The 26810-nt window shown below is 47.9% G+C and overlaps 1 protein-coding gene across 8 annotated transcripts in view, besides 3 other annotated features; it reads right to left on the bottom strand.

Moving 5' to 3' along the window:
* Positions 1 to 26810, bottom strand: part of PLEKHA2 (pleckstrin homology domain containing A2) — a 72567-nt gene that overhangs the window by 20503 nt on the left and 25254 nt on the right. For 7 of the 8 annotated variants that reach the window (NM_021623.2, XM_047422067.1, XM_011544607.4 and 4 more), the window contains 7 exons: positions 17360 to 17416; positions 9573 to 9621; positions 7189 to 7286; positions 2420 to 2560; positions 1098 to 1244; positions 706 to 774; positions 43 to 113 (listed from right to left, as the gene is read on the bottom strand). In NM_021623.2, the coding sequence (NP_067636.1) occupies positions 43 to 113; positions 706 to 774; positions 1098 to 1244; positions 2420 to 2560; positions 7189 to 7286; positions 9573 to 9621; positions 17360 to 17416 (632 nt within the window). The remainder of the gene's footprint in view (positions 1 to 42; positions 114 to 705; positions 775 to 1097; positions 1245 to 2419; positions 2561 to 7188; positions 7287 to 9572; positions 9622 to 17359; positions 17417 to 26810) is intronic. The other variant, XM_024447227.2, reaches the window with a different exon arrangement.
* Positions 15699 to 16378: an enhancer, noted in NCBI's record as "H3K27ac-H3K4me1 hESC enhancer chr8:38794550-38795229 (GRCh37/hg19 assembly coordinates)". NCBI's record gives its function as "activates a minimal SCP1, AML or CMV promoter by ChIP-STARR-seq in naive and primed H9 embryonic stem cells {active_cell/tissue: H9 hESC(naive and primed)}" and the evidence as "EXISTENCE:reporter gene assay evidence [ECO:0000049][PMID:30033119]".
* Positions 15872 to 16201: an enhancer, noted in NCBI's record as "active region_27268". NCBI's record gives its function as "activates an Ori minimal core promoter by ATAC-STARR-seq in GM12878 lymphoblastoid cells {active_cell/tissue: GM12878}" and the evidence as "EXISTENCE:reporter gene assay evidence [ECO:0000049][PMID:35858748]".
* Positions 16379 to 17059: an enhancer, noted in NCBI's record as "H3K27ac-H3K4me1 hESC enhancer chr8:38793869-38794549 (GRCh37/hg19 assembly coordinates)". NCBI's record gives its function as "activates a minimal SCP1, AML or CMV promoter by ChIP-STARR-seq in naive H9 embryonic stem cells {active_cell/tissue: H9 hESC(naive)}" and the evidence as "EXISTENCE:reporter gene assay evidence [ECO:0000049][PMID:30033119]".

The raw sequence follows: 26810 nt of genomic DNA, 5'->3' as shown, positions 1-26810 counted from the left end.
AATGGAGGTTTGGATTAGAAGAGAAAAAGCAGACACAATTACCCAGACTTGACCAGACATTCATGGGTCTTCAGAACATCCTTAAGAAATATGGTGCGCAGTGGTTCTCGGTCCTGGTGGAAAGAACAGAAAGACAGGTAAGTGAGGCTGTCTGTGTCATATCACGACCCAGACCAGCTGACCAATACCCCTTTCTCAGAGATGGTTGGCTAAAATCAGGTTGACAAATAATCTGGTCTCAAAATAATCAGCAAGAGAAAAAAAAATCTGGCTGGGCAGAGTGGCTCATGCCTGTAATACCAGGACTTTGGAAGGCCAAGGCTGGAGGATTGCTTGAGGCCAGGAGTTCAAGACCAGCCTGGGCAACATAGTGAAATCCTGTCTCTACAAAAAATCCACCACTGTGCTCCAGCCTGGGTGACAGGTGACAGAGAAAGACCCTGTCTCCAAAAACAAGAAAAAAGACAAAAAAATATAAGAAGAAGATGTTGTGTAGCTATGACTCTGACCACACAGCAGCTCACTGCAGAGAGGACACTTTAGTGTCACTGTAAAGATGTGTGCACAGAATGGAGATAAGACAGAGGCGCCTTTGAAGTCTTTGTGTGCCCACATCTCCACTCATGCACGCTCTCCTGTGGGTGTGCACCTATGCACCTCTTAGTTTCCATGACCTCTCAGAAGGGCAGCAAAGCTACTACAAACCTGCTCACACTTGAAGTAGCAGATGGTAAAGTCATCAAGTGCAAAGAAGCGACGTTTCCAGCTCTTCCGCTGTAATAAAAAAATAAAAGGCAGACCATTAGCGAGAGGTGCCCAGCATTGTGGAGGGTGTACTCATGCTAAGCTCCCAAGGACCCAGCCCCATGGAAGTCCGGCTCCCACATTCAGCAGGGGCAAGGGCTTCTTCATATCAGGGGCAACACCTCTGACAGGTGGGAGCCAAAGGTCAGTCCCAAAATCTCACCCTCAAAGGTGGAGGCTCCATGGAGGACTGAGGCACCTCCTGTCAATCCCCTCTCACCTCTGCTATGTCTACAGCCACTGGCTCTGAGGAGTCACCAGAACCCCAATTCAGCCCCTGTGCTGACACTCACCACATTCCCTTGCTTCACGCAGTAACCACTCTTAATGAGGGGAGGCCCAGTGGAAGCACGGCAGCCTGACGTGGGGATGTAACTCTGAGACCTTCGAAGGATGGTGTGGGACCCGGGCTCACTCCCTTCCTGCCCATCCCCACCGTTCTGCAAGGAAACAGTGTCAGTATCAGCGCCTCCCTCCCTCTATGCAGCCACAGCCCCACCTACCTCCCTCTGCCTGAATCTCTGGCCTCTTTGCCCTAAGTCAAAGAAGAAATAAATGGTGGGCACAGTGGCTCACGCCTGTAATCCCAACACTTTGGGAGGCCAAGGCAGGAGGATCGCTTGAGCCCAGGAGTTCTAGACCAGACTGGACAACACAGTGAGACCCAGTCTCTACAAAAAAATTAAAAATTGTTTTAAAATTTTTGTTTAATTTTGATTTTAAAATTTAAAAATTAAAAAAAAGAATTACCCAGGCGTGTAGTCCCAGCTACTCAGGAAGCAGAGGTTGGAGGATGGCTTCAGCCCAGGAGTCTGACACTGAAGTGAGCCATGATTGCACCACTGCACTTCAGTCTGGGCAACACAGCGAGACCTTGTCTCTAAAAAAATTAAATAACAACATGGCAAAACCCCATCTCCAACAAAAAATACAAAAAAATTTAGCCAGGCGTGGTGGCACATGCCTGTGGTCCCAGATGAGGTGGGAGGATCACTTGAGCCTAGGAAGGCTGAGGCAGGAGGATTGCATGAGCCTAGGAGGCAGACGCTGCAATAAGCCGTGATTATGTGTATATGCACTTCAGGCTGGGTGACAGAGGGACACCCCATCTCAAAAAAAAAAAAAAAAAAAAAAAACTTAAATAAATATAAATAATTAAAACAGGAAAATAAACCTTTCCTTTCTCTGTCATGCACTCTACTGGGTACTTTCACAGAACCAGCATCAGGGAGGTTGGGCCGACCCAGGAGAAAGGGAAGGATAGGGAATGTGAACCAGCAGGGACACCAGGCTGGTTTCCAGCCTTGTTTGCCATGCTCTGTCCCATTTCCTATGGTTTCACAAACCCTCATCTTCTGTGTCTCCCGTGTTCGGCACAGAACTGCACAGGCCACATGGCTTCAAGATGCAGCAGCCTCCACTTCCGCACTGCCGTCACTAACACCCATGAATGGGGATGTAACATGACCTGTACTTTCCTGATGGCTCCACTGGCACCAGCTGCCCCCCACTCCCACCCTCCTTTTCCCCAGTACAGTGCTCCGAGCACATCATGGGCACACCATGGACACTTCCACACCCCCACTCCCCCCGCAGCCCCAGTCAGGCCCCTCACCTGGCTGATGGGTGTGTGGACCACCACCCCTCCAATGATCTCCGTCTTGTAGGCCACCTGTGGCTTCTTCTCCAGGGCTGGAGGAGCTGCTAAGCTCTTGAGAACTTCAGTGGTCATGGGTAGGCCCCCACCTTTGGGAACCTGGGGTGAGCGGCAGCAACAATCAATGGGGAACAGAACATTTAGGAAACATGGGGAGCCCAAAACAGAATGGGGCTGCCGTGAGAAAAGCTCATGTGCCAAATTACAGTCAGACTTGCGTGTCCTCCCCAAGCCTTCCACAGTCCAAATCTGAATATGAGCATCTCAACCAGCAACGCCCTCCCCCTACACAGATACAAACTGACTCCAGGAATTTCTTGAGCGCCTACTTATGAGCCAGCCCTTCCCTGGCTAGAAACCAAAGATAAAGTGTCAAGCGAAACACACGTGGGTCCCCACCTTCACGGCACTTACATGCTAGTAGGGGGAATGACAAAAAAAAACGTAAAACAAACAGAGTAATTACAAATGGTGGTGAGTGGCACAAAGAAGATCAAGAGAGCTGAGGCAGCGCACAGCAGGGGACCTGCTGGAAACAGAGTGGGCAGGGAGGTCTCTAGAGGAGAAGGCAGGGAGACACTCAAACGGCAACCTGGAGGGTAAGCAGGAGATGGGGGCCAGGTCCGGGGCCTCACACCTGTAACCCCAGCACTTTGGGAGGCCAAGGCAGGAGGGTCACTTGAGCCCAGGAGTTCAAGACCAGCCTGGGGAACATAGTGAGATCCCATCTCTACTAAAAATGAAAAAAAAAATTAGCCAGGTGTGGTAGCACACAGCTGCTCAACAGGCCAAGGTAGGAGAATCTCTTGAGCCCAGGAATTGGAGGCTGAAGTGAGCTATAATCACACCACTGTACTCCAGGCTAGGTGACAGAGACCCTGTCTCGAAAAAAATACAAAATAAAAAACTAAATAAAAGGAACCAGGAACATGAAGCTGGGAGAAGGCATTCTGGGCAGATTGAACAGGTAAAAATGCATGCATGCCTTTGTAGAGACAGAACAAGGGGTCCATGAAGTCTGGAGCCAGAAGATGTGTGGTATAACCCTTCACCTCTCACGAACCACCTGAGAGACCTTTGGCAACCATCAAACCTTTCTAGGCCTAAACCGTCTCATGCATAAAATGAAAAGTGGAATAATATTTATCATAACCATCGTTGTGGTTATCAAATGATAGAGTATATTAAATGCTTTAGAAACACAACTAAAAAGAAAAACATATTACAAAATATTATAATTAAGGCTTCCCACGTTGTTACTAATAATTATACACAGAGCCCTTTTGGAAGAATGAGCTATCTTTGCTCTTCCTTGACAGAGATATGGTACCACAGCTGATCAAATCATCATAAAATTTTTATTGTTAGTTGGAAATCACAGGCCAGAGGTTGCAAATTGGTGGCCCACCCACTGACTTTGCCCAAACAATGTTTTGTTAGTCACATGCAGTATTTTTTAAAATCTGCATCTAAGTTTTGGGATATTTCACAGAAAAATCCAGATTTTCAGCTATGCAGCAGTTCCCTTTTAGATAGAAAATACATTGTGTTTGCACAGTCCCTACCATTCTCCCCAGCAGAACGGGAGAGGCCAGGGGTCAAATGTCACTTATCCTCATTCCTGTTGCCCTGTTTCCTCCTCCTTGCCCACTTCACTCATTTATACTAGAGTCTGCAAATGCTGAGGAAATCTTTCATTTTGTTAGAAAGAAAAAAAAAAAAAGAGGTCCAGAACAGTTGAGTCATTTACCCAAAGCCAGGATTAACAGCTGAATGTCGGCCAGGCACAGTGGCTCATGCCTATAATCCCAGCACTTTGGGAGGCCGAGGCGGGCGGATCACCTGAGGTCGGGAGTTCGAGACTAGCCTGACCAATATAGTGAAATTCCGTCTCTACTAAAAATACAAAAATTAGCTGGGCGTAGTGGCGGGCACCTGTAACCCCAGCTACTCAGGAGGCTGAGGCAGGAGAATCGCTTGAACCCAGAAGGCAGAGGTTGCAGTGAGCCGAGATCACGCCATTGCACTCCAGCCTGGGCTATAGAGCGAGACTCCGTTTCAAAACAAAAACAAAACAAAAAAACAGCTGAATGTCTACTAAACTCTGACTTCCCACCAGTGCCCCAGCATCACAATGCCCCACCTTCAGGAGAACGCAACACCCTACATCTATCTGCCGGGACGTCACCGGGACTTCGAGAGAAAAGCTAAGGTCCTCTCCCACTTCTACAGCTTTCAGAGTAAGAAAGACCTAAGGATCCGAGCTCAGAGCTATATGACAGCCCTGTCATTTGGTGTCTGTTCAAAACAATAAGAGCACCCTGATTATGCTGGGCCCCCACAAAGACAACGAGACCTTCTCTTCCTGGACTGCACACTCAGTTTACATAGACAAGGACGTCCTCTGCCCCCTCCCTACCCCTCCAAATCAGGCCAGAAATTCCGCCTTCTATTTTCTTTCTGGCTGAGAGATACCAGCAGTTACAGTTTCTCTGGGCCACCATTCAGTGCCAGGCAATGCACTGATAAGCTCTTTGCTGCATTATCACTAATCTTATCAACCAGGCATGATTTTCTCCACTTTATAGATGAGGTCAACTCAAGCTCATTAAAATTAAGTGATTTGGCTCTAGGACTGCCTGACTCCTTGTTGCTGCATGTCACGACCTACCTAAGCTACTCTTTCTCACTTTCTGTGAGTTCTGTTATTATGTAACCACATTTTTAGGGATGTTGATTTTTAGTTGATATTTAGTGATTAAAATCACCATGGAACTGCAGAAATTTCCCCTAAATGACCCAGATGAATTCCTGAAACCCAGCAAAGAAGGAGGGAAATAACAATTTTTTTTTTTTTTTTTTTGAGATGGAGTCTTGCTCTGTCGCCCAGGCTGGAGTGCAGTGGCGCGATCTCGGCTCACTGCAATCTCCAGCTCCTGGGTTCAAGTGATTCTCCTGCCTCAGCCTCCCAAGTAGCTGGGATTACGGTGCATGCCAACATGCCCAGCTAGTTTTTATATTTTTAGTAGAGACGGGGTTTCACCATGTTAGCCAGGCTGGTCTCGAACTCCTGACCTTGTGATCCACCCGCCTCAGCCTCCCAAAGTGCTGGGATTACAGGCGTGAGCCACCGCGCCTGGCCAGAAAGTAACTTTTTAGAGTTCCCAGTGGCCAGAAAAGGAGGCACAGAAGCTTGGCTGCTGTGTTTCCTCTCAAAATCCCGAAGAACACTGTTTGTCAGTGCTTATGCTCCGGTGTCATGCAGTGCTTCAGATCAACATGCAGAGCCTTTCCAAAGCTGTTTACACTACCTGAGACTTCTTTAAGAGATGGGCTTTCACTCTGTTGCCTAGGCTGAAGTACAGTGGTGCGATCATAACTCCCTGCAGCCTCAAACTTCTGGGCTCAAGTGATCCTCCTGCCTCAGCCTCCTAAGTAGCTGGGAATACAGGTGTAAGCCACCAGGCCTGGCTAATTTTTTTATTTTTTATTTTTTTTGAGGTGGAGTTTCACTCTTGTCGCCCAGGCTGGAATGCAATGGCACGATCTCGGCTCACTGCAACCTCTGCCTCCCAGGTTCAAGTGATTCTCCTGCCTCAGCCTCCTGAGTAGCTGGGACTACAGGCGTGTGCCACCACGCCCAGCTAATTTTGTATTTTTAGTAGAGACGGGGTTTCACTATGTTGGCCACAGGTGATCCACCCACCTCGGCCTCCCAAAGTGCTGGAATTACAAGCGTGAGCCACTGCACCCAGCCATCCATCCTCTCTCTTTTCATCACTCTCTCTTTTCACGGGTTTACCAAGGTTTATCAGAATAAGAAGCTAATCAGCAAAAGTGCTTATAGGAGACTCAATTACACTCAGGTTGGGTCTAGCAATATGAATACTATATACGTGTACAAATTTCTTCTATACAGTTGTTCACAGGAACCCTGAGAAATCTGGGAGGATAATTTGCTGCAGCATGTAATAGTCACTACTGGAAGCCCCTCAAACATAAGCATTTCTGACTGTATGATACAGAAACAAACTTTTCAGCAAAGAAGCCATGATCTATATAAGCCAGGAGTCTGCCTGTCTTATTGATTAAAAGTCTAGTTTTTTCCAAAACATAGTTTCCCCTCTCCATCCTTCCTACCCTTCTTCCTTTCTTTTTCTATATCTCTAAGGAAAAAGAAAGGAATTCTTCATTAGCCAACTCAAGGAAAAAGAGCACACTCGTAGGACAGTCCATGAACGAGCTCTGTGATGCTTTTAAACAGAAGGCTTTTCTAGGACAGGGAGGCGGATGGCTTGGACTGACCCTGCAGGCAGCCTCTGAAAGTAAGAAGAGTATCCCCCAAGCTGGGAAAAAGTTCTGACTTCCCTCCCCATATGCTTTTCCCCTTACTTGACTTTTCACAGTCACCAATCCATTTTCCAATCCTACCACATTCTGAATCAGCATCCCAGAATCACCCGAAACATGACTGATCGGGAGCCCTCCCAGGAAGCACAAAGGGGACGCTCCATGAACTTCCCCTTGAACTTGATTCAAACTCAGACTCTCAGTTCAACTTGTGTTTGGTCAGCCAAGGAAAAAGACGAGGTGGGAGAGAACTGGGTACAGACCAGGCTCCTGGGAAAGTCCCCGCTGCCATCTCAGTTTTCCCCAACCCCAACAAGGCCATAGCCTGGGAAGAGGCACTTTTACTACCACCAGAAAACAGAAGAAACCAAACTTACGGTGATCTTGCTGGCTTGGTTCAGGGCTTCAACCCAGTCCTTCATATCTTTCTGATCATTGGCTTGAAGGAAATATCTCTGAGACAGGGCATTGATAACTACAAAAGCCACAGAAAAGAAGGGAAGACATTCCTAGGTCAGAATACAAGCAATACAACAAGTCTCCACAAAGCTAAGGTGTTTGAGGGAGTGAGATGAGTGAACTCCACAAAGCAGAACAAGAAATCTCCCATGATGCTAAGTCATTTGCCTGGATATCTAGGAAGCCCCAGGCCACACCTGCTCACTCTCTTTCCCACCTTTAAAAACATCCCATTGGCCACAGGAACAACACCTGACCATGTTAACAGCAGCCTCAGTGTGCTGTTCTGCGGTGATGAGGCTGCTGGTCTGCCGTCAACAAGACACAACTGTGAACCGCATTCTGGCGGTGCTAATACATTTACTGTCATCACGGTATATACAGAATTTTGGACCCATGCTTGGTCTCCTCTGGCACAACTGGTCTGGACTGGGAGAGTTGTCTGTGGTTGGGAAATAGAACAAAGCTTTCCTGAGATCAAATCTGTGACCTTGGCCTCACTCTCAACCTGTTCTTTCCTCTGAGCATTCCATTAGGTCAACAATTTACTTCCACATTCACTATTATTACATATATATATTTTCAGATCTGATAACCACAAAACGTGAGAGTCATTTCTGAGCTTAGCTATGAAATTTGCAAGAAATAGAAGAATGAGCATGCCAAAGAAGTCTGAACAAATCTGAGGTGGGGAGACAGAATCGCTCAAGGGAATACTTTATTCTCTTAGCATAAGCTTGAACTGTAGGAGGTGAGTCTCATGGGGTAGATGCAGAATTCATCCGTTCATTCATTCATTTGACAAATATTTACTGAGCACCTACTATGCGCTAGGAAACATCTTTAAGTGCTGAGGATACCACAGTGACAAGGCAGAGGAATACCCCTGCCTTTGTGAAACTTACATTCAGAACCACCCCAGATAGGCAACAGAAACTATTTGTTAGCATTTGCTCATAGCACTTAGCACAGCTGTGAGAACATAGTAGGAGCCAAGTAACTATTTGATGATGGATTCACTGAATTCACTGACCACTTCCTGACTTGAGGCACCCATGCACGGTGACTCTGCCTCCTACACCATCCCCCAACATGTCACTATTGGGCAACTGAGACCCTTAACAGAATTCTCCTTCCTTTGTCTTATCCCCTTCCTGGCACTGCCATCTGCGTCTCCTCTGAGTCCTCCATCTTTTCTGAGCACAACATTTCTCAGCTCTAAAATAAGGTTCACAGAAACTTATAGTGGACATTTTGCACCTGCCTTGTGGCATCAAGAAAACTGAAATGCATATGGACAATTATTAAAAGAAAAAAATGTTCGAGATGATGGACATTGATATGGTTTGGATCTCTGTCCCCACCCAAATCTGTGTCCCTACCCAAATCTCATGTTCAATTGTAATCCTCAATGTTGGAGGTGGGGCCTGGTGGGAGGTGACTGGATCATGATGGGTCGTGGGGGCGGTTTCTCATGGTTTAACACCATCCCCCATGCTGTTGTGTCATAATAGTGAGTTCTTGTGAAATTTGGTTATTTAAATATGCATAGCACCTCCCCACTCTCTTTCTTGCTTCTCCTCTGGCCCCATAGAGCCTGCAGAACACTGAGCCAATTAAACCTCTTTTTTTTTTCTTTTTTTGAGGTGGAGTAGAGTGCAATGGCCTGAAATCAGCTCACTGCAACCTCCGCCTCCTGGGTTCAAGAGATTCTCCTGCCTTAGCCTCCCGAGTAGCTGGAATTACAGGTACTCACCACCACGCCCAGCTAATTTTTTTGTATTTTTAGTAGAGATGGGGTTTCACTATGTTGGCCAGGCTGGTCTCAAACTCCTGATCTCAGGTGATCTGCCCGCCTCGGCCTCCCAACGTGCTGGGATTATAGGTGTGAGCCACCAGGCCCGGGCAAACCTGTTCTCTTTTTAAATTACCCAGTCTCAGGTATTTCTTTATAGCAGTTCAAGAACAGACTAATATAGATATGCTAATTACTCTATACATTATGTACCCCATGAATATATATAATTATTATTTGTCAACTTAAAAAATAAAACTAAAACCAAAAAAAAAAGAAAGAAAACAGAAATGTTACTAGTCCCTGAACCTCTGTCCTTATGTTATTAACAACCTTTGCAGCAAGACCAGGGAAAACAATATCACTTGACGTCCAGGACCGTCACTGTGATTTAAGTCACTCATACTCACAGGGTATAGTCACATGTGATCACAGGACTGTCTCCATGCAAAAGAGGAAGTTGCCATGTCAATATTAAATGAGTCCCTCCCCTGGCTCAGTACTTACCAAAGCAAAATGGAGTTTTTGGTTTCTGTTTTGGGGTAGCTATGCTCACCTAAATCAAATAAGAAATAAAAGAAACATGAATATGTGTCTTACAATGTTGAAGATTTCTTATTGTGAAATTTCTCATATATAAAGAGTACATTAAACATATGTCTACATTTTTAAAAAATAATAATTAAATGAAAACCCTGTACTCATCATCCAGATTAAGAAACAGGCATTATCAGTCCTATTTCTTAGAAGCCCTGTGTGCCCCTCCCTGACAGAATCCCCACCGTCAGAGATAACCATTATCTTGAGGTCTGTTCATCTTTACAAAAAGACTTATGTTTATTATTTATTTATTTATTTAGATATAGGGTCTCACTCTGTCACCCAGGCTGGAGTACAGTGGTGCAATCATAGCTCACTGCAGCCTCCAACTCCTGGGCTCAAGTGATCCTCCAGTCTCCACCTCCTGGCTAATTTTTTTTAAATGCCCCTATGCCTGGCTAGTTTTTTTTAAAAAAGAAAAATATTTGCAGAAACAGGGTCTTGCTATGTTGCCCAGGCTGGTCTCAAACTCCTGGGCTCAAGCAATCCTCCCGCCTCAGCCTCCCAAAGTGTTAGGATTACAAGTATGAGCCACTGCACCCAGCTCAAAAAGACTTTTAAAAGCCACTAAGTCCTGACGAAAACCTATCCTGGCCTCATTCACACTAGCAAGATTCCCCTCCTCCCCTCCTCTTTCAACCGCCAACCCTCTCCCTAAATCGTTCTCCAAGCTGAAGGCAATATTGCTACAAATGCATGGATTCCAATCAGAACACTCAGAGAGATGAAGCAGCAGGCTGCTCGCTGCCCTCAGACACATGGAACAATTGCCTTTACATCTGCCCTGATGGCCTAACCATGAAAATAAGCACCTTCCAGGTGCCCAGAGAGGGGCTGATGGAATCGGAGAACATTCCTATATATCTCAGGGAAGGGCAAGAAACAGAGGAGGTATTTCTATACCTCCTGTTGCTGTATTTCATCTTGCTCTGGCAATCCTACCCCTGGCATGTACACTCCTGAGTATCTGCATATGTGAACTCTCATCATTCAGGCTCAAACAAAAGAAAAAAGAAAGCAACTCATATTCCACCACATGCCCACAAAGATTAGGGACAATCCTTGATGGAGGCTGAGCCTCCCTGGAGTGAGCCTCCACCACTGAGCCTCTAAAGAGACAGTCACCTTCCCATGGGTCCTAGGCCGGGGACTATTCACATGATGTCACAGTCCTCCCCTGAATACCATTCTCTCCATCCCCCTCCAGCCAAGGGTATTCTTCGACATGTCCTCCACCTAGGGGATCCAGGAGTGGTTCCCACTTTATTTTATTTGTTTGTGGGGTTTTTTTGGGTTTTCTTTCTTTGAGACAGGAAGCTGGAGGATCACTTGAGCCCAGAATGAGACCCCATCTCATTCTGTCACCCAGGCTGGAGTGCAGTGGCGCAATCACAGCTCACTGCAGCCTCGACTTCTCAGACTGAAGTGATCCTTCCACCTCACCCTCCTGAGTAGCTAGACTACAGGTGTGTACCACCACACCCAGCTAATTTTTCCATTTTTTTTTTAGAGATGGGGTCTCGCTATGTTGTCAAGGCTGGTCTCAACCTCCTGGCCTCAAGTGATCCTCCTGCCTCAGCCTCACAAAGTGCTGGGATTATAGGCATGAGCCACCGCAACCGGCTGGCTGCTACTTTAACGGGCAGCGTATCAGAAGCCAGGTGCTAAAGAAAAAGTCCTGAATTGAAATTAAAGTATCTTCCTGGCTGACAGCAGTTAGGGTCTAACAATGACTGACTCACCAGTCTGTCTAGGTTCTTACTCTTGGCTCTAAGTTCTTGCTATACACCTGCCTAGATTCCTTAACCAAAATTAATATTGCCCCAAATAAATGGGAACTGAGGTGGCACCTTATAAAAGATCAAAAGAAGGTCAGGCAGAGACAGAGAGTCTCAAATGACAGGTGTTCCAACTGAATGACCTCCATTTCCTGTTCTATCAAATAAGGGATCATAATATCGTGTTCTCACAGGGTTATCATGAGGGTTAAATATGATAGTGCAGGTAAGACAGTCATTCTTCCACACAGAATCTGCTCAACCCAGGAGGGATTATTTATAGCTTTTGATACCTCATTTCCTTTAAAGCCTCACTCCACACATCAACACAGGCAGTGTCCCACCTGGAACTACGGGCAAAATGCTGAGGGTCCATGAGTTTCTCTGGGCCTGCAAAACTGTATGAAACCTGAAAAAATTGCCTGGCCTCCTACATACAAAGTGAAGATGCTGTATCTGGTGTTAATAAACATTTAATTGAATGCCTACATAACATTATATCAACCTCCCTGACAAGTATTTAAATGCGTACAGGATGTTACGTCAAGTAAACGTCATTAATTTTTCAATGAAACATTAAAAAGTTTTTCATTTGAAAATAATTGGTACCAGGCCGGGCACAGTGGCTCACGCCTGTAATCCCAGTACTTTGGGAGGCCACAGCCGGTGGATCACTTGAGGTAAGGAGTTCGAGACCAGCCTGACTAACATGGTGAAACCCTGTCTCTACTAAAAATACAAAATTAGCCGGGTGTGGTGGCACATGCCTGTAATCCCAGCTACTTGGGAGGCCGAGGCAGGAGAATCGCTTGAACCCGGGAGATGGAGGTTGCAGTGAGCTGAGATCCCGCCATTGCACTCCAGCCTTGGTGACAGAGCGAGACTCTGTCTTTAAAAAAAAAAAAAAAAAAGATACCTTAGATTTTCTTAGCTCACAAGAATCCTTTTGTGCGTGTGCAAGATGATTGCCCAGAAATTAGAGCCAGTTACAAATTGGATGAGTTACTCAGAGCCAAATCATTCCAAAAGTAAAATGATTAAAATCCTTTCAAATATTTTATATATATATATAATAGCCAATTATATTTAATAAGGGATGTACATTTTGAGATGTGAGGTGAAAGCCACAGAGCCTACGAAAAACCTAAAAAAATGATGATTTGAGCAAAGGTAAACCCGCTTATCCCAAGTTCGGACACAGAGGATCCAAATTCAGTTGTGTGTCAACTCACAGTAAGAGGACGCTGGTGGCTCCATAACACAATAGTCCAGGCCCCTAGACATCTTGCTTCCTGGGTTTCTGACCCCCCCCCCCCGCCCCTTCAATCTGGACCACGGCATAGACTTCTGTCCTGCTTACACCTGAGTGTTAATCTGTCAGTCACTCATTTTCTTGCTTTGGCCCTCAGCGTCCACATTCCTGCAGTCCTCTGGTCCATAACTCCTGGTTGTTCTGCCCCTGATCTCTGCATAATCCTGACCACAGCAGAACTGTGTTTGGCCATCCCAGCCCTCAGAACCCACCAATCTCATCCTCCCCTTCTACTTCCAGCTTTATTTATTTATTTGAGACAGAGTCTTGCTCTGTCACCCAGGCTGGAGTGCAATGGCACGATCTTGGCTCACTACAACCTCCGCCCCCCAGGTTCAAGCGATTCTCCTGCCTCAGCCTCCCAAGTTGCTGGAATTACAGGCACGCACCACCACACCTGGCTAATGTTTTATATTTTTAGTAGAGATGGGGTTTCGCCATGTTGGCCAGGCTGGTCTGGAACTCCTGACCTCAGGTGATCCACCCACCTCGGTCTCCCAAAGTGCTGGGATTATAGGCGTGAGCCACCACGCCTGGCCCTTTTTTTTTTTTTTTTTTTTTAAGAGATAGGGTCTCACTCTGTCTCAGGCTGGAGTGTGGAGGTGCAGTCATGGCTTGGTCAGCCTCAAACTCCTGGGCTCCAGCGATCCTCCCAACTCAGCCTCCCAAGTAGCTGGGACTACAGACACTCACCACCATGCTCAGCTAAATTTTATTTTTTAAATTTTTTTTGTAGAGACAGGGTCTCGCTATGTTACTGAAACTGGTCTTGAACTCCTGGCCTCAAGCGATCCTCCCACCTCAGACTCCCAAAGTGCTGGGATTACAGGCATGAGTCACTATGCCCAACCTACTTCCAGCTTTAGAATGACATTGAAAAACTGGGCACTCCAAGACCCTTTCTGGCTTATTAGGAGAACTGCCTTTTCTCTGAAAAACTCCTATTTGTCACTGACTAGAGAGAGCACCACAGGCGGACTGTTTTAATTCTGTTTGGATAACAAATGCTCGTTTTGACCACAACTGATTAGCCAGCCTGTGCTGTGAGAATGCTACCCATGTGCTTATTATGGGAACTGGAGCCTTCAAAGAGACGGTCTGGCTTTGGGTTTGTTTGTTTGCTTTCCTCTGTTTATCCAGTTTTGGTCAGGAGGCATGTGAGAGTGCACGTGTGAGTGCATGCGTGTACAACCATCATTGGCCTCATGCCTAATGGCTTACCATGGAAGGGCGATTCGGCAAACCAACTCATTGCTGAATTAACAGGATCGGTTCTGGTTCTGCCCTGATTGGCTCACTGCAAGGGTAAGACCCTCAATGTCTTTGATCAGCTTTACAATAGGTGAAGCCAGAGTAAAAACACTATTCTCCTTTGCCACAGAGTGGCAAAAGAGGACAATGAAATGATTTCTACTTGTTGCTGAGTCCCACGGAAAGAAAGGCCAAGATGGGGCCGGGTGCAGTGGCTCCCACCTATAATCCCAGCACTTTGGGAGGCCAAGGCAGGCGGATCACCTGAGGTCAGGAGTTCGAGACCAGCCTGGTCAACATGGTGAAACCCCGTCTCTACTAAAAATACAAAAATTAGCCAGGCATGGTGGTACACACCTGTAATCCCAGCTACTCGGGAGGCTGAGGCAGAACAATCGCTTGAACCCAGGAGGCAAAGGTTGAAGTGAGGCGAGATTGCACCATTGCACTCCAGCCTGGGTGACAGAGCAAGACTTTGTCTCAAATTTAAAAAAAAAAAAAAAGAAAAAGAAAGGCCAAGAAGGAAATCTAACTTATCATGGAGACGTGGTGGCTTCACCTCCTCTCATGAAGAGGCGTGGCTGCAGGCGGGTGAGGTCACCCGACCGTCTGACTCCAGTGAGGCCACCAAAGTGCAGCCATCCACACAGCCGAGGTGGCCACAGCAGAGGCGCTACCCAGCAGTGGTTGACTGGTGGGTCCTGTGAACACCCCAGCAGCGAGCAGAGGTCAGGGATGTGAGCAGGGAGTGGGCACAGGTCCCCCGTAGAGTGACGCAGACAGGGCTGCTCCACAGCTCAACAGACTCTCAGGAACTTGCGCTTATCAGATCAAACACAGACCACAGGAGCTGCAAGCTCGTCAGCGGCCAGGCACGGCTAGGGCCAGCCCCACCCTGTCTGCCCATGGCCGGAAGAGGAGCTGGGGCCCCTCTGGCAGAAGCAGTGGCAGCAAAACAAGGTCTCCTAGCTCTGCTGCGGCCTCTGCCCTGGTATCTGGGGGTGACCTTGCCCCACAAGGTGGCATCAGGATCAGGGGAATAGCAGCCACCTACATGGGATGGGGGTCTCTGGACCAGCTTCAGGAGGTCAATGGGCTCCCTGAAATTATAGGCAAAAGCAGGGTGTGTCTGTACACCTATGCATTTACCTGGAGAAGGCATCCATGCATTTCATCAGTCTCAAAAAAGGATCCATGAGCCCCTACAAGTTCTTTCTGAGAGGTGGCTGAAAGCAAGGCCCTGACAACTGGGACACAGCTGGGGGTGGGACAGCGGGGTTGGCTGTGCAGTCGGCGGGTGGAGGCAGGGGTCAAAGTGCAGCTTTAATTATTTTCTAGTTTGCTAAGAACTGGTTCTGTTGCCATTGATGCTCTGGATGACATCCAATCATCACTTTCATCTCTGTCTCTCCAAAGGGCCAGGGCCACACGCCCGTCCTCATCTTCCCATCACTGGCCCTCAGCAGACAGCAGAGAAGCACACACCCTGAACAGCCAGCCCACACGCAGCCCTCTGGCCAGGCCACCTGACACGGTGGCAAGCGCTCTCCTCCAAGAAGGAATACCTAAGAGTTAACAAATAATGACCTGGAATGCTGAGCTGGAGTCCAGCGCCTCTGAGGCTAAATGTCATTCTGGGAAAAACCCCTGCTTTCTGGCAGGGAGTCAGGCAGGAGTTAAAGGCTCTGAGCTCTGTGTAACCCGACCCAGTGGCAGCTGTGGGTTTTGCAAAATGCCCATCCAGCCCTGCCTTTCTCGGGAAGGGGCTAAACGGCAGGTCACCCTTTCTAAATGACGCAGCCTCCAAGGCTGAGAACTCTAAAACCCTCATCTGAGCTGCATTTATAAATCATGATTCAGCAGGAGACTGAATTCATTCTTCCCCAACCAAAAATAAAAAAAAAAGGCTTCCCAAACCCTCTCACACAGGAGAGGGTTTCAGTTTTCCTTTATTACTGCGAGGTTCTCTGCTCCTCTGCTCTCAATTCTCCATCTCCGACCCTCCTGGAGAAACGACCTCAGGAGCTCTCAGCAAGATGAGGACAAGCCAGGGAGGGCGGGCAGGCCTGGGCCTCTGGCTGCTCTGGCCCGGGGAGGCAGCCACATTTCTCACCACAAGGCATGCACAAATTGCCGGCAGCTGTGCTAGCAAGGCTGGACTTGAAAAGGCCCTTCCTCCTTCCCTGAGGTCATTCTCTCCCTCTTTAATCCGCCCTGACGCTGCCCTGCATCTTGTGCCTTTGTACTGGGCTGTGTCTGCCAGACTCTGCCTGCATACCACAGGCACAGGGGCGGGCTGCCCCTCCAGCCAAGGGTGGCCTCTCCTCCAGAGTCCCCCAGTCCCCTTCAGGTTCATCTCCTGACCAGCCAGGGTACAAGACTCCCAAAGCTTGTTACAAGATGGAGCCGATAGACCCTTGGCTCAGGGGCCCCCAGGCCTCCAGCCCCTGAGGATGAAAGGGGATGTGCAGGGCAGAAGAGGCTCCCAAGAGGCCTGCAGTGAGGGTGTGTGGGGAGCACAGGACTTCCGAAACCTCAGTGCTGGCGGGGTGCCACCTGGCTCTCCTCACTGTACAAAGAGTTCCTCTTCCTGGGGAGGCTCTAAATCTCCCGGCCTTTTTATCACCGCTGCATCACGGGTCAGCAGTGGTGCCTGCTCCAGGGAGCGGCTGCTAATAGAAGCTGAATTCAGCAGTTACATGTGGGCACCGTTAACCAGTCCCCACCCCAGCTCTCAGCACAAGAGAGGGCCTGCTCCGGCCCCTTCTGTACAAATGGGACGGGGGTGGCCTCGCAGCCACCTGCCCCAACCCCCAGCAGTTATCTGGCTGCTGAATGTCTTCTTGGTAATCTGAGTGGCTTCTCAGGGCCTTCTTAGCCTTCCCTCCACAGTAATCCTGTCCAGGTGACTGGTAAAAAATCCAGTGAAGCCCCAATATTTTTTGTTTGACTGTACCCTTTGAGAGAATCCTTCACAGTTGCTGGATTTTTGGTGATTGTTTTCGTGTTCCCTTTCGTCCCAATTACAAAAAAAGGTCATGGATCATGTACTACCCCTACCCCAGCTCCACCACCACATAACACCTCCTGCGCAGGAGCTGGGAGCATTATGGATTGATGTGTTCAAGGAGTAAGAGGCTGTAGGTCCACCCTCCAACAACTTGGAACCACATACCTCTACAGCCACCCATTAGCAGCTAAGCCTCCACAGGCATTGTGTGGGTTCAGGGGAGCATTTCAACACCATGCAACGTCCCTAAATACTAATGCCCAAAGGACTGGACACTTCCCCTTGCTTAGAAACCAGATCGACTTACAGAGCATGAATTCCCAGAGTTCCAGGTCAACATTACCTTCGAGATGTAGGTCAGCTGCAAAGCTCCAACAGCTCCTGCCCCCATTGCCAGATTCTGAAAGACACATAGTTTTCATTTTAAGAAGGCTGTGGAAACAGCACCAAGAGACAGAAGACCAAGATTCTAGCTCTGTTTATGCCACTTTCCTGGCAACACTGAGCAAGTTACTCAACCATTCTTTAACTTGCATTCCTCACCTGTGAAACAGTGATGATAATTCCTGGATAATGATTCAGGATTCCTGATAGAAACCTGTGACATTAACATTACCCCCAAGCCTTATCTATTATAAAGAAATATTCTAGTACAGTGGTAAAAGTGTGTGCTCAGGCTGGGCATACTGGTTCATGCCTGTAATCCCAGTACTTTGGAAGGCCAAGGTGGGAAGATCACTTGAGGCCAGGAGTTTGAGACCAGCCTGGATAACATATCAAGACCCCATCTCTACAAAAATTTTAAAAATTAGCTGGGTATGGAGGCTCACACTTGCAGTCCCACCTCCATGGAAGGCTGAGTTGGCAGGACTGCTGGAGCCCAGGAGATAGAGGCTGCGGTAAGCTGTGTTCATGCCACTGCACAACACAGCAAGACCCTATCTCTTAAAAAAAAAAAAAAAAGTGTAAGCTCCACTGTGAACAAGTTCCTTAACCACCGATCCTTAGTTTTTCCTTCTGTAAAATAGGGATAATAGCACCTACCTCATAAGAAAGCTGTAAAAATGAGTTAATACATTTAAGAAGGCCAGGCACAGTGGCTCACGTCTGTAATCCCAGCACTTTGGAAGGCTGAGGCGGGAGGATCACCTCAAGTCAGGAGTTCGAGACCAGCCTGGACAACATGGCAAAACCCCATCTCTGCTAAAAATATAGAGCCGGGCTTGGTGGCTCACACTTGTAGTCCCACCTACTTGGGAAGCTGAGGCAGGAGAATCGCTTGAACCTGGGAGGTGGAGGTTGCAGTAAGCCAAGATCTCACCACTGCACTCCAGCCTGGGTGACAGAGCAAGACTCCATCCCCCAAAAATAAAAAATAAATAAATACATTTAAGAGCACTTGGAATTAATTGTCCCTGGTATGTAGAAGACTCTCAGCAAGTGTGAGCTGTTATAGTTTTTGTGAGTGCCCTGAGATCTCACTGACTCTGTCCTGTTTTATGCCAGTTCAATTTTTTTTTTATAATACATAGGATACAAACTCACGCAATATAGAAATAAAAATATATATATATATACATCTGTTCAGCCCATCTCATAGGGCTGTTATGAGTAGCAAAGGAAAGATGTCTGTACAGTATAAAACATGAAGTGAATGCACTATCACGACAGCAGGAGACTCACAGGCACCAGGTCTGGCACTGTGCTCTACCCTGGCACACCATCTTTGGCTTTCTAATGTCCCCACTGGCAGGGATGAAGCAGTGAAAACCCAAGGCAGTCCCATGCCAGAGTCACGGTCAAGGTTAGAAATCACAGCCCTGGGGCTTCGAATGCAGACCATCCCCCTGTGAATCTGAGACTCTGTCCATAGCTCCTGCTGACCTCTTAAATTGTTGCCAAAAGCCTCCAAGAAAAATCTCTGGAAGAGAGAGACTCCATCTCAAAAAAGAAAAAAAAAAATCTCTGAAGCCCCCATTACCTGGGGTCCTCTCAAAGCAATAAAAGGAGATGAATCTCGGATAAAGGAATTTAGGAAATTTACCTAAGAATTATCAGTGAAATGATCTATCAGGAGATAGCCTTAAGAAGTGTCTCTGGTGGACCAGGCGTGGTGGCTCACACCTGTAATCTCAGCACTTTGGGAGGCTGGGACTGCTTGAGACCAGGACTCTGGGACCACCCTGGCCAACATAGTGAAACGCCGTCTCTATAAAAACATTATATATATATATATTTTCTTCTTCTTCTTCTTCTACCTCTTCTTCTTTTTCTTTTCTGTAAATGTCTCCTCAGGGTGTTAGGGAAGAGTCCTTCTAACCCCACCTATCTAAATTAACATACATCGCTTGAAGCAAATTCAAGCAAGAAAATGGACGGGGATAATACTACCAAAAAAGGTATTCTCAGAACCCAAGAATCTTAGAGTGGGGGACCTAGAAAAGACTCTGCACTCACGTTCTTCCCTTTGCGAATGAGGCAGTAAGCTAAGGAGCTGCCTCTTACAGCCAGATTTGTATATGAACTGTGGATAATCTGATTTACACTTCTATTTACACATTTTTTTTCAACCACATAGCGACTGCTTTTCTTTCTTTTCTTTTTTTTTTTTTTTTAGGAAACCTCTATTGGGTAGGAAGAGACAGGCCTTATAGCCCTTAAATCAGAGTCCACATAGGAGCCCCAGCTCCCAAAAGGCATGAGTGACAGACACTGCCTTAGAAGGGAATGAGAACCGCTCTGGGCAAAGACACCGTGCTGCCCAAGGTCAGACTTACAGAGGGAGACCAACGGGCTCCAGGGACACAGGAACTGCAGGACTCTGCTGAGGACTAAGGGTCCACCACCCCTGACCTCATTTTGCAGTTTAGGAAAGTGGGCTTGTGAGTGAGGGGATTTGTCCAAGGTCACATAATTGGTGGCAGAGCCTAAACCAAAGCTGACTTTCAATGCAGTGCCCTGCAAGTGGCATGGGGTAATTTTAAAAGCTTGAGCTGTTGGAATTCTAGCTGTGACATTAATGCTCTGTAACCACAGGCAAGTCTCTTTACCTATAAAACAGAGATGCTAAACCCTGTTTCATAGGGTGGTGGGGAGAATTCCATGGAAAGACACGAGAGGGCCCAACCCCTCCTATTGGAGTCCCGATCCCCCTCCCACAGCACTAATTACAAGATGCAAATGCCAAATCTCAGGGCCGCTGTTGCACAACACACTCTCCTCACCCCAAACCACAGCCCAGCAGCCTCCGGAGCTCTAGCCTGAATTATGAGTGATGAAGTGGGATTTGGGGAACCATTCGGACACTAACCCACATGGAAAAACAACTATGAGCTGATCAGGTTTCAACTACTTCATCCCCTCTGCCCCTCAAGGGCTGCTCCACCCTCTGTCCTGGCCTCCCTGGCAGCTCTCCCTGTTCAGAGAGAAAGATGCCGCAGCCACTCTCCAGGCCCAGGGACCCCAGGGGTAAGGGCAGGGGTCCTCACCCCTTCACCCACACCCCACCCACAGTCTGCTCCTGGGCTCAACTGTACGTCCTCTCCACCAGGAGAAGCCAGGAAAATATGACGCGTGTCTGATGCTGCCTTCCTCCCTCCCACCTTCCTCCCCATCCAGGGGAAATGGGAGACATGGGAGAAAACAGCCCCAGGATCCTTGAGGCTTGATCCAAAGTGACGCTCAGGGTCCACTCCAGTGACTGGACCTAGAAGATGAACGGTGACAGCTGACTGCCAGGGTGACACATCGGCAGCCCTAGGAAGGTGCTTTCTGATCAAGGAAGACAGAGTGGGGATGCCTGAGCTGAGGGCCTGGTTAGCCAGGTGTCAGGGCAGGAAGGCCAAGAAACAGCACCTAGGTAGCGGCAAGGGATCAGAGCTGGGGAGGGGAGCCCACCCAAGCTGTCCCCCCTCTTCCCTGGCCATAGCTCAGACTCCTCTAGGAAAAGGACAAACTCAGGACTCTCTTCCCTGAAGCCTGAACCGACTCCAGCCTGCCCTGACCTCCCCTCTCTCTGGATTTAGGCACACAAATCCTTCTCCAACTTTGGTGCACACCAGAATCTCCTGGAGAGCTTGTTTTAAAAACCCCAAGAATGACCAGGTGCAGTGGCGCACACCTGTAATCCCAACACCTGGGGAGGCTGAGGTGGGAGGATCGCTTGAGGCCAGGGGTTCAAGACCAGCCTGGGCAACACAGCAAGACTCTGTCTCTACAAAAAGTAAAATAAAGAAATTAGCTGGGTGTAGTGGTGCACATTTGTAGTCCCAGGTATGTGGGAAGCTGAGGTGGGAAGATCACTTGAGCCCAGGAGTTCGAGGCTGCAGTGAGCTATGATCGTGTCACTGCACTCCAGCCTAAGTAACAGGGCGAGGCCCTGACTCTATTTATTAAAAAGAAAAAAAGAGATTTTAAAAAAAAGCCCGCGCTCAAGCTTCCCCCCACCAGAACACTGAATGAGAATTAAATGGAATGTGGTCAGAACATGGACATTTTTAAAATGCTCCCACGCGATCCCTCAACAGGCCCAAGTTTAAGAACAGCTGGTCAACAGGACAAAATCTAGCCTTGGACTCTGTTCTCGGAGTATGTTTTTCTGAGAGTTTAGGTCTCTTCCTACTGGACGGAAGCACACGAAGGTCATGAGTAGGATCTTACTGCTTTACAGAGGGGACTCCTTAATTTTTAAATGAAAACAATATTTGCATGATGGTGAAGTTCCCAACCAGTCCATACAAGCCCACTGAGTTCATAAAGTACTGGAAGACCAATGCAGCTCTGCCCACCACCGGCAAACAACGTTTTCTCGTGACATCTCCCAGGTTCCAACTTGGGGGTCACTTCAGTTTGCAGCTCCCAAGACCTAGGCAAGGCCTCTGTGGGACAGGAATCAGGATCGGGTAGAAGAGGCAGGAAAGGACTGAACCCCAATGAAAAGGAGGTGGAAAATGTAGGGGCAGAGTTGAGGAATGGGCCATAGGGAGAGGGACTGGAAGCGTCAAGATGAAGGCGTCTGAGCAGATACAAAGTGGAGCCGGTGGGTGGTGGGAATGAAGTTCTGGAAGGCTGCTTATGTGAATCACCTCGGGAGGTATCTTTTATTTATGTATTTATTTATTTTGAGATGACTCCGTTGCCCAGGCTGGATATGCAGTGGCATGATCTCGGCTCACTGCAACCTCCACCTCCCGGGTTCAAGCAATTCTCGTGCCTCAGCCTCCTGAGTAGCTGGGATTACAGACATGCACCACCACACCCGGCTAATTTCTGTATTTTTAGTAGAGATGGGGTTTCACCATATTGGCCAGGCTGATCTCAAACTCCTGACATCAGGTGATCCGCCCGCCCTGGCCTCCCAAAGTACTGGAATTACAGGCATGGGCCACCATGTCTCCTGGCCACCTCGGGAGATTTCTAAACAAACTAAGACGCATGCTTCATTCTCAGGGTTTGAACTCGTCTGGGATACCCAGGCACCTGCCTGTTTCCAGAGCTCCCAAGGGATTCCATGTGCTTCCAGGTTGGAGGTCATGGCTGTAGGCACCAGCTGGTCCTGCTGAGTCTGCCCTAGAGACACAGCAGCTGGTGAGAGAAAAGGCTACGCCAGCCAGCAGCCCACAGAGTCACCCTGGCTGCTGCACCAGCAGCCAACAGAGAGGAAGGAGGAAAGGTAGGAGAGAGAGAGGAAGAGGGAATGGAGATTCCCGTGTCATGCCGTGCCATGCCGTGCCATGCCATGCCATGCCGTGGGGTGCCGTGCCTCGCTGGCAGCGATCCCACGAGAGGAAGTCTACAAGTCAGGAGTGGTCTGTACATTTGGTGGACTTCTAAATTTTGTGGAACCACATAGGGCACAGGGCAGGTTCCTGTTAAAAGATAGGTGGTTTTAGGCTGAGCGTGGTGGCTCACGCCTGTAATCCCAGCACTTTGGGAGGCTGAGGCAGGGGGATCACCTGAGGTCAGGAATTCAAGACCAGCCTGGCCAACATGGTGAAACCCCTTCTCTACTAAAAGTATTAAAAAATTAGCCGGGCATAGTGGCATGCGCCTGTAATCCCAGCTACTTGGGAGGCTGAGGCACGAGAATTGCTTGAACCCAGGAGGCGAAGGTTGCAGTGAGCCGAGATTGCGCCACTGCACTCCAGCCCGGGTGACAGAGCCAGACTCCATCTCAAAAATAAATAAATAAATAAATAAATAAATAAAGATAGGTGGTTTTATGCAGACAATGCCAGTACCTTCCTTTTTGCTCAAGAGCTCTTCTGCCACTAAGGTCCTTGAAGGAGCCAGCTCCCCAGGGGGGAAAATATATGGCTTATTCTTCTCCGTCACCAAGGAAGCAGCTGAGGTGCCCATACAGGGATGTGGCACACCTCCCACGTTAATCCTTTTTCTAGCAACAGCAGTATTTCTTGTTGAAGAAGAAATTTTTACCCATGTGACTTCTACTCCCTTCCGCCTCTTCCAGTGAGAGTCACAAAGAACACAGAAATGACCAGAAGACCCAACTATCGATCCATAAACTCACAGCATGTCAGCACTCAAAGGTCCTGTGCATACCTCTTCATTCACTACACATGAGTCCTCTAAGGCTCAACTGGGGGAAGTGACTTCCTTAGGGAGTCAAATGAAGACAGAGCTCAAACTCCTAACATCAATCTGGTGCTTTGGCAAAGTAACAGCCTGAGAAAGAAAGAAGGAAACTAACATATATTTAGAAATTATGATGCGCCAGACATGCTGCTAGGCACCTTCACATGTGGTCGCCTAATCCTAACAATCCCATTTCACAGATGAAGAAACTAAGGATGGGGCAGGTGAAGGAACCTGCCCAGGGTCACACAGGCAGCAAGCAGCGGAGCCAGTATTCAAGCCCAACCCTTCCTGATTCCCAAATCCCATGCACTTTCCTTTAGGCCCTGCCATCTCCCATGAGACATTATCTAAGAGCTGATTATCAATGAAAGGTAAATACAAAAGCAGGACCAGCAGGGTTACACCAAAAGAGGCCCAGTGTCATTGCCCAAGCTGGGCAGGGCAGGAACTTGTCCAACTGGCTCTTGGGTGCCAAACTCCAATAGACCAGAGATTCAGAGCAGAAAGGGGGAAGGAAGGAGAGATGCTGGTGCCATCTGACCTTCTCTTACAGGCCCCTGGGGTGTCCAGCAGACAGTAAAAAGCAGCTAGCAGGAGACGGAGGGAGGGGACGCCCCTGGTAATCCCAGAGCTAGGGCATGAGCTGACATTGCTGTCTGTGAGCTAAAACCATAGCTCAGCCACCAAAAGCCACGGCCATGTAGACTCACAGAAAAGAATGTGCCTGCAGAGGGGGTATAGCTCAGAGTAGACATTTGAATGTAGGAGAACGGTGTGACAGGACTGGGAAGGAGGAGCATAGCTGCCGCTGCCCCACATTCCAAAGCCCTCACCCTGACATGAGCAACCAAAGCAGGGGAGCCAAGCGAATCCCAGGCACCAGGTGACCTGGGCCGTGGCTCTACCTGCTGCTCTAGGGCCAAACACCTCTCCTCCCCTCTGCCCTGTAGGTCCACTTGCTGATGCTAACGCGGGGACACACGACACGCTGATAGCTACTCTCCCCATTCTCCAGTTCAAAGTGTGTATTTAATCTTTCCCTTCAGGAGAAGTCGATTCTATATCATCCTCTGCTGCGTGGGCTTAATGTTTTTATTCTATTACTTGGATGTCGATTTCTTGTTGACAGACACCAGTATCAGCTTTAGACAGGATAAGTTTCATTGTGTGTTAAGTCTCTCAGCCACACCCCCATTCCCTTTATTTCCGTCTTCCAACTCTGGTGACAGAGACTTAAAGACCAGGTCGGGCCGGGCGCGGTGATTCATGCCTGTAATCTCAACACTTTGGGAGGCCAAGGCGGGTGGATCACTTGAGGTCAGGAGTTCAAGACCAACCTGGCCAACATGGTGAAACCCTGTCTCTACTAAAAATACAAACATTAGCTGGGTGTGGTGGCGCACACCTTTAATCCCAGGTATCCGGGAGGCTGCGGTAGGAGAATCGCTTGAACCCAGGAGACAGAGGTTGCAGTGAGCCAAGATCACACCACTGCACTCCAGCCTGGGTGACAGAGTGAGTGAGACTCCATCTCAAAAAGAAAAAAAAAAAAAAAAAAAAGACCAGGTCAGAGGCCTGGGCTTCAGATAATCTCCCGGAGGCATTTGGGTCCCAACTCTGACTGCTGGCCACCTAAATGTTTCTAAAGCTGTAAACTCAATAAGCCAACTCCATCAGCCCTTTCTTCAATCCAGCCTCAAACTCAATGTCATTTCCCCTCCACTTTCTAATCGGTTTCCCTCTCCCCTCCCCAGCCTCTGTCAGTAATTCCACCTCCTCTCCCCAGTCAACCAGGTACTAAACTTTCAAACATTCTTCCCTCATGTAGCCTCTAAACCTGCCCCCCCACTCTCCATTCCCACCACCTCAGGCATATCAGGAAGCTCTGTGACAAATCCCCAGCCGTCATCTCCAGCTCCAGCTCTCCCCACCTCCCCATCCATCCCGATGTCCTGGCCAGAACAAACTTTCTTAACAGATAACATCTGTAGCACTTTAGAGCTCATCAAAGCATTCTCACATACATTATTTACTCTTCACAGCAACAATGTCACAGGTGGAGATCATTGATATCATTACCATATACTGTGGATGAGGACAGGAGGCTCAAAAAATGGATGTTTCCTTAATGAATATATTCATCATGTTGTCCTGTGCTCAATTGATATAACTAATAAAACTGGTCTCTGAAGCAAAATCTAATATGAACCCCTCCCCCAAACATGCAATAACCAACCTCCTTTGCCTTCGAGACACTATTTAGATAATAAATTAATAAAATGACTTTTTTTGAGACAGGGTCTTGCTCTGTAACTCAGGCTGGAGTACAGTGTCCTGATCACAGCTCACTGCAGCCTCTAACTCCTGAGCTCAAGTGATTCTCCCACCTCAGCGTCCCAAGTACCTGGGACTACAGACATATGCCACCACGATTGCCTAATTTCTTTATTTTATTTTATTTTTTGTAGAGATGGGGTCTTCCTATGTTGCCCAGGCTGGTCTCAAATTCCTGGCCTCAAGTGATCCTCCCACAGGCCTGGGATTACAGACATGAGCCACCATGTCTGGTCATACCATTCTTTGGTATATAACTAGATCTATAAATATAGAAAGAGATGTATATAATAAATACATTGAACAAATGTTGAAGGTTAAAATGTAAAGCAAAATCTAACAACAACATACCAAAGAGAAGTTTTGAGAAAACTTAGAATAGTCATCACTATGGTTTTGCAATAGTTATTTAACCTCTGCTAAGTTTCATAGCTTCTATCTGTTTAGCTGCTTGGACTTTAATACTGAGTAGTGCTAACTCTTAACACAATTCTTTCAATGTGCTACTTAGTTTTTTGTTTGTTTGTTTGGTTGGTTGGTTTTTTTTGAGATGGAGTCTCGCTCTTGTTACCCAGGCTAGAGTGCAATGGCGTGATCTCAGCTCACTGCAACCTCTGCCTCCCGGGTTCAAGCGATTCTCCTGCCTCAGCCTCCTGAGTAGCTTGCCACCATGCCCTGCTAATTATTGTACTTTTAGTAGAGACAGGGTTTCGCCATGTTGGCCAGGCTGGTCTTGAACTCCTGACCGCAGGTGATCGCCTGCCTTGGCCTCCCAGAGTACTGGGATTACAGGCGTGAGCCACCGCACCCGGCTTAGTTTTTAATTTTTTTTAATTTAGACAAAGTACATCCTGTTATAAAGA

Source organism: Homo sapiens, chromosome 8 (assembly GCF_000001405.40).
Source record: "Homo sapiens chromosome 8, GRCh38.p14 Primary Assembly".
NCBI classification, from domain to species: domain Eukaryota; kingdom Metazoa; phylum Chordata; class Mammalia; order Primates; family Hominidae; genus Homo; species Homo sapiens.
Note: the sequence above shows the minus strand (reverse complement) of the source record. Positions and strands in the feature narration are given on the sequence as shown.